General features: G+C 39.6%; 1 long non-coding RNA gene across 2 annotated transcripts; it reads left to right on the top strand.

The window, feature by feature from the left end:
- Positions 1-3,929: 3,929 nt before the first annotated feature.
- Positions 3,930-11,360, top strand: LOC105373223 (uncharacterized). Of its 2 annotated transcripts, none has more exons than XR_949313.2 (4): positions 3,930-4,393; positions 5,815-5,920; positions 8,207-8,473; positions 10,718-11,360. It is a non-coding gene; the product is annotated as an uncharacterized LOC105373223 (long non-coding RNA). The 2 variants fall into 2 exon arrangements; XR_949314.2 differs by having other exon boundaries at positions 3,944-4,520.
- The last annotated feature ends 930 nt before the right edge of the window (positions 11,361-12,290 follow it).

Below are 12,290 nucleotides of genomic sequence, written 5' to 3'. Positions count from 1 at the left end.
GTCAACTTTTACAGCTTCTATTCTCTCAGGAGAGCTTTAAGAAGTTGATTGCTGAGGGGAGTTAATTCAATAATGGATACAGCTGCTCCAGCAGCCAATCCAGTCGTCTGTCATATTGCCAGCAAGGTAGTGGATTTTTTCAAGTCCAGGAAGTAAAAAGGACAGGGGAAATATGATGAAATTGGCCATTATAAAAATTTGGCTAAAACCTGGGAACATATGCCTTTACTTTTATATTAAGTGCCAGAGGACTTAGAAAATAACAAGCTCATTGCCTTGAATGTAAACTGCCTAAAGGGATGAAACTTTGAGAAATTGTTTAACCATTTATTTCATATTGAGTAATAACATTTATCCCCCTAATTTTTACCCCAATCTAATTGTTTCCTTACACAACAAAAATTAATTTAAAAATTATGTTAGAGAAACTTGTGTTAGATGCAAATTGATGCATAGAATCACTGAGTAAGTTACAACAGCAAAAATAATAAAAATAATAAGAATAGGAAATTCTCAGGTGATAGAAATAAAGAGAAAATAAAAACCAGAACAATTAGAAGTGAGCTGATATGGTTATGTAAGGCTTAGGGAACATAACAGAAGTCATCTGATCAGCATCCATGGAAAACGAGGTCTTGAGTACTTGCATGGCAAGAATTGTAACTGTAACTCCTGTATTCACAGAGATACCATGTGTCCTGCACCATCAGTAGAACAAAGCTATCTATTATTCCAGGAGGTTAACAAGCTACCTGGGTAATACATGCAAAAAAAATTTTAAGTGTCCTTTGAATAACAGAATCATGCATTCATGTGATTGTCTTTCACACAGAATTAGAGTAAATTTATACAAACTATGGATTCTCTAAAAGCAAAATTATGTGTAAAATTGTTTTGGGACCAGTGAGAGCTTTGGTGTACCTGGCAGAAGCAAACACAAAGCTAGTCTGAAGGGTCTTTCAAAAGCCAGGACTTGGGATGTTTTCATAAAAGAAAATGATATGGACAGGAAGCAGGAAAATACTGGGTAGAAAAGGACAATTCCCACCCTCAAGCCTTGAAACCTGTGGCCCTAAATGGGGAAAGGCATTCCTGTTTTTGTGCCCAAATGTTGCCTTTTCCAAGACCACTCTGGCCCACCACACCCCATCCTATGCCCATATAAATCCCAAGCTCCACTGGGAGAGCAACAGAGTGACACGGCAGAGAAGAGAAGAGAAGCCTCAGCCCCCTGAGTAGCTGGGATTACAGGCATGTGCCACTTCGGCCATCTAATTTTTGTATTTTTAGTGTAGATAGGGTTTCACCATGTTGGGCAAGCTGGTCTTGAACTCCTGACCTCAAGTGATTTGCCCACCTCAGCCTCCCAAAGTGCTGGGATTACAGGCATGAGCCACCATGCCTGGCCTCATTAGTTTTAAATATTTTTCTATTAATTCCTTAGAAGTTTCTGTACAAGATTATGGCATCTGCAAAGGATATCGTATTACTTCTTTTCCAGTCTGGATGCTATTTATTTTATTTTCTTGAGTAATTGCTGTGGCTAGAACTTCCAGTACAATAGTGAACATCAGTGGCAAAAACTGACATTTTCACCTTGTTCCTGATCTTAGGAAGATAGAATTCAGTCCCTTACCTTTATTTACAATGTCATCTCTGGGTTTTGTATATCACTTACCAGACGAAGAGAAGGAGAGAAGAGAAGGAGTGTATGAATGTCTAGAGGAGTTCGACCAGGGATGGTCAGAGAGGAGAGAGGAGATAGGCCGCAGGACAGCTGAACTCCAGGGGAAGATCATCTTCCCACTCCATCCCCTTTCCAGCTCCCCATCCATCCTGCTGACAGCCACCTCCACCACTCAATAAAATCCCCACATTCACCATCCTTTAAGTCAGTGTGACCTGATTCTTCCTGGATGCTAGGGAAGGACCTGAGTACCAAGAGGGCAGTGTGTAAAGGGCTGTCACCCTGACTCTCCACTGAGCTGGTTTAACACTTAGCCATCTTCTGACAGCAACTGCTAAAACAGCATTAATTGTAACACACTCCTAGATGCTACTGTGGAGCTGGAGCCCAAAAGCGCCCACGTCAACTCCTACAGCTGCCCATCTGCATGCTCCCCTCCTGGAGCAAATGGGCCACAACCAGTCGCAAGTCCCAGAAGAGGGTCAGGGAATTCTCTCATTTCAGAAACAAGACCTGCTGCAGATAAAGTAATAATAAACATGCAGAGAGCATAAGAAAAAAAGTCTTCCATGAATGTAAGCAAGCCGAACCAATACCACAGAGGAGGATTTGATCATAAGAACCTCAACATGGATGAAGAATCAAAAAACAAAAACAAAAAAAATGCAATAATTATGTTTAACATGTGTAAATATATAAGGCAATGAAAATTTCAGTAAAGGAACATAAACCCCATTTGACCTTATAAGCAAAGCATACCATGGTTTGAAATAGAACTAGAACTTCCAAACATATAGTAGTGAATGCATTTGCATGTGCATGTACACACACACACTCATATTATATATATGTATATGAGTGTGTGTGTGTGTATATATATATATATCTATTTGAAGAGGGAATTGTTAAACTTTAGATTTTAGAAAATTACCCAGAATTCAACCAAAAGAGGTAAAGATATAGACATTACAAAGATGCTACACGGAGACAAAAAGTAGGAAGAATAGAGAATGAAAATAGTCAACATACACCTAATAGTTTGAGGAAGAGTGAATAAAGATAATGGTGGCCAGGCGCGGTGGCTCACGTCTGTAATCCCAGCACTTTGGGAGGCCAAGTCGGGCAGATCACAAGGTCAGGAGATTGAGACCATCCTGGCTAACATGGTGAAACCCCATCTCTACTAGAAAATACAAAAACAAAATTAACTGGGCACGGTGGCGGGTGCCTGTAGTCCCAGCTACTCGGGAGGCTGAGGCAGGAGAACTGTGTGAACCCAGGAGGCAGAGGTTGCAGTGACCTGAGATTGCGCCACTGCACTCCAGCCTGGGTGACACAGCAAGACTCCATCTCAAATAATAATAATAAATAGTAATAATAATAATAACGGCTAATAAGTAATGAGAGGTGACAACGTGCTAGCAGCCCTTGCTCGCTCTCGGTGCCTCCTCGGCCTCGGCATCCACTCTGGCCACACTCGAGGAGCCCTTCAGCCAGCTGCTATGCTACGAGGGCCCCTCTCTGGGGCTGGCCAAGGCTGGAGCCGGCTCCCTCTGCTTGGGGGGAGGTGTGGAGGGAGAGGCACTGGCGGGAGCGAGGCATGCACATGGCACTCACAGGCCAGCCTGGGTTCCGGGTGGGTGCAGGCTCGGTGGGCACCACACTGGGCACGGTCGGATGGCACCTGCTGGGCTTGATCAGAGGCTGGGTCCCGTTCGTGGACTGCCTTTCCCTCTTCGCAGGGTCATTGGCCACGATGGTGGGTCTCTGTCTCTTTCTCGCTCCCCCTCTTTTCCTCTTGGTTGTCTGGGACGAGCTCCCTCTGGGCTGCCAGAGTGCCCCAGCTAGGAGCTGCAAAGTCCGAGGGCAAGTGCCAGTGAGAGGTGAAGCCTGCTGGGCTTCTGGGATGGTGGGGACTTGGAGAACTTTTCTGTCTAGCTAAAGGTTTGTAAATGCACCAATCAGCACTCTATGTCTAGCTAAATGTTGTAAACGCACCAATCAGCACTCTGTGTCTAGCTAAAGGTTTCTAAACGCACCAATCAGCGCTCTGTGTCTAGCTAATCTGGTGGGGACTTGGAGAACTTTTGTGTCTAGCTAAAGGATTTTAAACACACCAATCAGCACTCTGTGTCTAAAGGATTGTAAATGCACCAGTCTGCACTCTGTCAAAATGGACCAATAAGTTCTCTGTAAAACGGACCAATCAGCTCTCTGTAAAATGGACCAATCAGCAGGATGTGGGTGGGGCCTGATAAGGGAATAAAAGCAGGCCATCAGAGCCAGCCATGGCAACGTGGTGTGGTCTGCTTCTGCACTGTGGAAGCTTTGTTCTTTGGCTCTTCACAGTGAATCTTCCTATTGCCTACTCTTCGGGTCTGTGCCACTTTTATGAGCTGTAACACTCATTGGGAAGTTCTGCAGTTTCACTCCTGAGGCCAGCAAGACCACGAACCCACTGGAAGGAATGAACAGCTCCAGACCTGCCACCTTTAAGAGCTGTAACACTCACCTCGAAGGTCTGCAGCTTCACTTGTGAAGTGAGCGAGACCACGAACCCACCCAAAGGAAGAAACTCTGGACACATCTGAAGGAACGAACTCCAGACACACCTTATCTAAGAACTGTAACACTTACCGCGAGGGTCCGCAGCTTCAGTCTGGAAGTCAGCGAGACCAAGAACCGACCAATTCCGGACACATTAGGGTACAAATAATTTTTAAGGAGCTGATTAAATACATTACTACTTACATAAAATATTAGGATAAAAATAAATCTACCTGGCAACACAGCGTTGTGAAACTGTAGAATGGCAAGAAGAAGAAAAAGACAGGTAGAGAGAAAAGCCATATTCCCTGCTAGGAACAATGGCTAGGTTGAAACTAGACTTCCCAGCACAGCCATGTTACTAAGTGCTAAGGGAAAATAGCTCAATTTATGTATAAAACAAAACTACAGTTCCATGTTCACTGTGTGCAGTGGAAATAAAGACATTGCACATGATATGTAGAGATCATTCCAATTCTAGGTGGTCACCAACAAAAGTACTATGTTGTTATTATACTTCAGGAAGAAGAAAGAAACTTAACTTCAGAATTTTGAAGTAGAATAAAGAAAAAAAAAATTGTGGACAGGCATGGTGGCTCTTGCCTGTAATCCCAGCACTATGAGAGGCTGATGCGGGCAGATCGCTTGAGCTCAGGAGTTTGAGACAAAGTCTGGACAACACGGCAAAAACTCATCTCTACAAAAAAAAATTTGCTGGGTGTGGTGGTGCATGCATGTATTCCTAGCTACTCAGGAGGCTGAGATGGGATAATCACCTGAGCCTAGGGAGGTCAAGGCTATAGAGAGCTGTGATTGCACCACTGTACTCCAGCTTGGGTAACAGAGCAAGACTCTGTCTCAAAAATAAATAAATTAGATATGTAAATAAATAAAAGTGAGTTTAGTTAAAAAATAAAATAGTTAAAAATAAAATTACCATTGACTTAAGAAAACAAAGGTAATATTAAATATTTTGGAGAATTAATAAGCAAGACTTAAGTAGTTAATATGAAACTTAGAATAACAAGAAATGGGGCAGTTGGGTAATTAGAAATGTAACATTGTGAGTTCTTGATGTTATTTGGGAGAAAGCTGGGGATGGTGGATGGCGATATACTTTGTAAAGTCAATAATTAAATTTCCACCAGAAATTTGAAAACAAAATAATGAATTAAAGTAAAAGTAATTAGACAATAGAATACAGTGAAGAGTAGAGAATGATGACACACAAAAATAAATAATACCCAATTTACAAAATGAAAAAATGATTTTTTGAAAATATTAAAAAAACTGATAACTTGTAGTAAGGCTGAACCAAAAAGGGCCAAAGCACAAGTAATTGATAATAACAACAAGAAAGTCAACACATATGAACCACTGCTTTTCACTGTCTTCTCTTGCGAGACCTTGTCTGTCTTGTTAGCTCTCCACTCTCTCCTCCTGTGTATGCTGCCAACCTCACTGCGTACGCTCTGGTATGAAATAATTATTAGAAAGTACTTTGTAAGTTTCAGATACTCAAGCTTGAGGGCTTCAGTAGATGAAAAGAATTGGAGTTGCTTTCTTTGTTATGGTTTCAGCATGGAAGCCTTTCCAGTTGTGAGTAATTTGCTGATTCATTGTCAAGAGGAGACAAATGAAACAAAAGGGAAAATTCGTGTGCTGCTTAAACACAGAATGAACGAGGTGAGAAGTTGAACAGATGGGATGGGCTAAGGCAAAGAACATCTCACTACTACAAAGATGTGCTATGTTGATTGTGTGTGTTCGTGTATGTGTGTGTGTATTTACTTTAACATGCAAATAAATGAGCCAGTGATGAGTAAATGTAGACCTGTTGTGACATCCTCAGAATAAGAACAAAACAAAATGAAAAAACTAACTCCTGACTTTATATACTCATCTAGTTTCTTCCCTTTTAAAGACAGCTCTTTAAAAATGACCTGGCTGTGCTTATGCGTTTTTATCTCCCAGTTTTTCTTAACTTCCTCCAGTACAATTTTCATTCCCATCACTTCATTGAAATACCTAGCACTTTCATCCTGGTCGCACAGTTCTAAATATAATATACAACTCAGAGCCTCCATCTTACTTGGTCTATAAATAGCACACAAAACATTGTCTTTCTTGAGACATTTTCTTCCAGGAAAACCATTACCCTGGTTTCTCTTAAACTGGCTGTTTCTTTCTATCCTCCTTGACCTCTGTATATGACAGTGCCTGAGGAATCAGACGTTAAACTTCTCTTCTTGTCTATACTGACCCTGTATTTTGGTCTCATGATTTTATCTACCATTCATTTGCTCGTTCACCCAAATTTAGTATCTTCCAGGTCCCTCTCTTGAGTTTAAACTCATATGTCCTGCTACATACCGTATATGTCTTATTGGATGTCAAATAGCCATCTCAATTTTAACATATTTGAGATATGCCTGTCTCCAAATCTGCTATTCCATGAGAGATTTTCAGTAAATGTCCCCTTATTTCCTCCTCCTTATGCCATCAAAGTCACCAAAAACTTTTCAGCTTTTCCATTAAAAGATGTCCATAATCCAACTATTTCTCACTACCTTTTCTGCTACATCACCTCTCCAACATCAATGTTGCATTCCTTTCTTACCTGAACTACTGAAAAAGCCTCTTGATTGGGTTCCCTGTTTCCATTGCCATGAGCAGAATTAATTCCCCTCTTAAAAGGCAGCATCATTCTTTTAAAATGTAAATCATATCATACCATTCCTTTCAAATCCCTCTCTGGCTTTTCATCCCATTTAAAATACAATTTTAAGTCTTAACCACAACCTACACAATCCTGACTACTTCTATGATCCTCATTTTCTTTCATTCTTCTTCTTCTTCACTTTGTTACAGACAAACCTGTCCTGATGATGTCTCCAAAATGTATCAAGCATATTATTGCCTCAAATGCATTCTAATTGCTAGTCCCTCTTCTAGAATGTTCTTCACATAATGAATCCACTAACTGTAAGAGGATTTTTGCCCTCTCCCATTGCCATATGAGCTTTGCAATACCTCCTTTGAGGAGGAGAATCCATTTCTGTCCAGCTGACATGAAGGTTGACCATGTCACTTGGTTTTGCTAACAGAATATGAGCACAAGTGACAAATGCCACTTTTGTGGAATGATTGAGAGCTGCCTTATGGTTCTTTGATTGTTTTTAAGGAACCTGCATATCTATTGTTGAGTTGACTTTTAATATGTGTCTATGTATTCCCTGAACCCACAGTGAAATCTATTTACAATTTATTGGAGGAAATTAAAGAATTACAGTGTGCTTATCTAGGTCTATAGAACTTGGAATAAGAACTGTACGAATTGGATGTCAGTAAGATTCTGAAATTCATTAAATTCAGAAGCAAGATCTCAAAACCAGAGGTCGCCCTAAGAACATCAGGTGAACCCTCTTCCAACCTAGTTACTTCACAGAAATTTTATGGAAGGCATTGGATTTTTCATTAATCAATAAATGTGAATTTGGACCAATATTGTCTAGACCTTGGGGAAAGTGTTGGCCCTGTTTACATCTAGGGTACATTTAGAGAAAACTTATAGCAAACTCTCGATTTTACCTGTTAAGTATAAACTATCCATTAATAATAAAGTATTTTCAGTTTTTCTTTTTTTTAATGAAAGGTGGTTCCAAACTTGCAAGTACCCTCATGCAAATCTACTTTATAAAGCAGAATCAAAACTTAAATGAAGTCAATCAAAGATCATTTGAGTCTTTCTATCCCCAGTCACATAAAATTATACCAAGATGAGTTCTCCAGAGCAAGATGAAGCCTGTTTGAAGTGTGAGTGATGTAGCTTTGATCACAGTTATTCTGAGGTTGAAAAGATAACAGAATTAAACTGAACGATGGGCTTCTGAGTTCACTGGCTTGGGATTATCTATTTCTGTGTAATAAGCCATCATAGAACTTAGTGGCTTCCGTTATTCTCTCTTACAGCTTTGTGGACTACTGGGCCCAGCTGAATGGTTCTCACCTGAGGTCTGTCATGTAGTAGAGGAAGCTGCAGTCAGCAGAAGGCATGACTGATTGCATGCCAAAAATGGCTCAGTCACATGGGTGGAATTTGATGCCAGTTCCTGGTTGAGAGCTCAGCTATGGCTATTGACTGGATATCTACACAGGGCTGTCCTCGTGGCATGGGAGTCTCACAATGACAACTGAGTTCTCAGAAGGAGAGTGCCTACAGCAGGCACTCCAAAAGAGGTAGGCAGAAGGTGTAACACTTCATATGACCTAGCTTTGGGAATCGTGCAATGTTACTTAGTTCTGCTTTTTACCAATCAAGTGAGTCACAGGCTGAGTCCAGATTCAGGGGAAAGGAAACTAGACTACATCCCTTTATAGGGAGAATGACTAAGAATTTGTAGCCACCTATAATCCAGTATATGCTCTGAGGTCTCAGTTGCATCTGTGGTTAGACTAGAGATATCTGGATCCGTATTAACACCTACTGTCAACAAACAGAGCAAACAGTAGGCTTCTAAGGAGATTCATAAAATGACTAAGCTGTCGAGATGTTGTACACATACAAACACAGACATACACATATGCGCACACACAAGTATCTTATTGCTAATGGAATATTACTAAGGATGAAGAAAGGCCACTTTTTTGAGTGGATTTTATTTCTCCTTTACTGAAAACTATCAGCACTTTAAGAAATATGAAATAATTTTAAATGCATTCCTATGAACTACTGCTCCTTTACTTTAGTCTCTTGTGATAACTTTATGAGATATGCTTGGCCTAATATGTTTAAAGTTAAAGGACTAATTGAGGTGAAGGCGATTGTAAGTCTAACCATTATAATATTAAAACCTAGCAGAGTTGTAGGAATATATTTTTTTAAAATAATTCAGACAGCATACTGCTATACTTAAAGTCAAGATGCTAAAGAAGATATTCACAAGTCACCTGGCTTTATCACACGGCTTCCAGAGAAGGAAATGAGTAAAATTCCAAAGAGAAGTGGTTTGTAGTCTTCTTTAAAAACTGTTCTTATGGGCCGGGCGCGGTGGCTCACGCCTGTAATCCCAGCACTTTGGGAGGCCGAGGCAGGCTGATCACAAGGTCAGGAAATCAAGACCATCCTGGCTAACACGGTGAAACCCCGTGTCTACTAAAAATACAAAAAAAAAAAAAAAAAAAAAAATTACCCAGGCATGGTGGCAGGCGCCTGTAGTCCCAGCTACTCAGGAGGCTGAGGCAGGAGAATGACGTGAACCCGGGGAGGCAGAGCTTGCAGTGAGCTGAGATCATGCCACTGCACTCCAGCCTTGGCGACAGAGCGAGACTCTGTCTCTAAATAAATAAATAAATAAAACAAAATAGAAAAGTTCTTATCACTAGTACAAGGAGAAATCCTTGGCTTGTCCTAATATTAATTCACTGTCGTAATCACAGCATTCTTCCTTGTTTCCTCAGTGAACTCCTTGAGGACAAGGAATAGTGTCTTGAAAACCTCTTTAATCCTCAAATTACCAAGTACCGTGCCTAGTATATGATAAACAACAAGCAATAAAGGGATCAGGTAGTAAAAGTAACATCTGATCTTCCTGGAAAATGGGCACTGAATGACCAACAAGATTTCTAAGCAATTCTATTACACAAAATTCTTGAAGATACCACACAGCTTGCTCTTTTTCGGTCAAAGCAATTCTAACTTAACTAACACCTGGGAATTCCTGATATGGTCATAGGACCCTGTGCTAGAGTCTAAGGAGGAAAAATATGTATAAAATGCCGTCTTATATATTTTATACACATGTGATTTTAGTGGATTAATCTGGTTCATAAAGTGTTGTGGGGATACTCAAATTATTATCACTTATAGTATAAAGAAAAGATTTAGAATAAATTTACTTTTTTCATTCTTTTTCAACAAAGAGAACAAAACGATCAGGTACTTTTCGTTTTAAAAAGGGTCTGAAAAAAATCTATGTTATAAAAGAAGTTTTCATCGTAGCCATTCAGTTAAAGTAAAATTTTATTGGAACCAATTTTGACAGGTTTGTGAAAAATTCTGTCTGTTTCAGGTAGCAGATAATAAGCGAATTTATGATTTAAAAAGCAGTGGTGGCCGGGCATGGTGGCTCACACCTGTAATCCCAGCACTTTGAAAGGCCGAGGCAGGTGGTTTGTTTGAGCTCAGGAGTTCGAGACCAGCCTGGGTAACATGGTGAAACCCTGTCTCTACTCAAAATAAAAAAATTAGCTTGGCATAGTGGCACACGCCTGTAATCCCAGCTACTTGGGTGGCTGAGGCAGGAGAATCACTTGAACCCGGGAGATGGAGGCTGCAGTGAACCAAGATCAAACCACTGCACTCCAGCCTGGGGTGACAGAGTGAGACCCTGTCTCAAAAAGTAAAATAAAATAAAATAAAAATAAAGTAAAATAAAAAGCAGTGGTAACAAGCAGTGATCTTATAACTTTCATTTTCTCTAGGGCACTCCCAGACCAAGAGATGGATTAGCTGTTTGCCACACTCCTTTTTATTGCTAGTCTCCACGTCTTAACCTATGAGAGACTGTATAACTGAGCTGTAGATGAAATAAGGTGGGCCAAAGCAATATATGCCACAAGGAATACCCACAAGCATGACTTACGTTAGTTTTCCTGCTCGACTCTAGGAAATAAAGCAGAACATAGACTCAGCTGCTCCACCAGCCCCAGTGTCCACCTACCTGGAACTCCCATAGGTATTAAATAGGTGAACATTAAAAACTTTCAGTTTGCTGATCCATTATATTTCTGAGTACACTTGTTGTTCAGCCTCACCTACCCCAATGAATATATGATATCAGACATATTAAAAGACATCTGGATTCTGTATTAAACTATTTTCTATCCAAGTTTTAAAAGAGTATCTCTATGATTTCAAAAATATGTTTGAATGAATATCTTTAATATACAATTGGCTATATGCTATCTGTAATTATACCATAAGCCTGGGAATTTTTGTTATGTAAAAGTTTAAATGACAAAATCCTGACAGATTTAATTAGGTTTTTGTGAATGTTAAGTTGACAGCTATAGGCAACAATATTTCATTAAAGAGATATTTAAATAAATGTTAATTTTGATTTTACAATTTTCTTTCCATTAGGACATACTGCATTTTTTCATGTGTCTAATGCATAATAAAGTACTCAAACAGATATTCACTCACTGTATTCAAAGGCACAATTCTAATTCCCAGAAGAATTAGAAAGTGTTTGTTCCTTCATCTCTGCAATACATTCAGTGCTTACCATATAGTGTCTGGCACATAGTAAACTTCTAATAAGCAGTTTTTGAGTGATCTGTGGAGAAAGAATTTCAGTCCTGATGAAATTTGAGGACCAGGCAGGGAATATCAGTTGAGTCACTTATAAATTGGGTAATCTTTTAGCAACTGAGGGTACAAGATAAGGGATGAATCATACTGCTCCATAGACAAATAAGCAAAATATAAACATCAGTGTAAACCAGGGTCAGATATTGAAAAATGTTGACACTGAGATCCTTGAAGAACCAAAATTTCCACTACTCAGGAAGTGTAATGGATCCTGAACCTAAAAGGAAAGCTTAGTTATCACAAATGTAGAGTTTGGGGAGTTTTACAGTAAGGCAAAATATAAGAATACCTTTGTATTCTTCCTTAAAAATAAAAAAGCTTCCCATAATCTGTTAACCTACTGTTTATATTTTCCAAATTCATTTTAAAGAAGAAGGCTGGAATAGACACAATAAAAAACAAGATTTGACTAATCCTGGATATTTTCTAAGGAGACACTCTTGCTTTTTGGGATCTGCATGTCTTTCATTTTTCCCTCATTCAAGTACCCTTTAGACATTTTTAAATTGAGGTGTAATTTATTTAAAGTGTAGTACGTAAATCTTAACAGTACAGTTTGTTGAATGTTAACAAATGTATATACCCATGTAACTAAAACCTTAATCAAAAAACAGAATAGTTCTATCACCCCAGAAATAATATTTGTGCCTCATTCCAGTCAATGCTCAAACTCCCCCTGGA

Source organism: Homo sapiens, chromosome 1, assembly GCF_000001405.40.
Source record: "Homo sapiens chromosome 1, GRCh38.p14 Primary Assembly".
Lineage (NCBI taxonomy): Eukaryota > Metazoa > Chordata > Mammalia > Primates > Hominidae > Homo > Homo sapiens.
The sequence above is the reverse complement of the archived record's forward strand: the minus strand, read 5'-3'. Positions and strand labels throughout refer to the sequence as shown.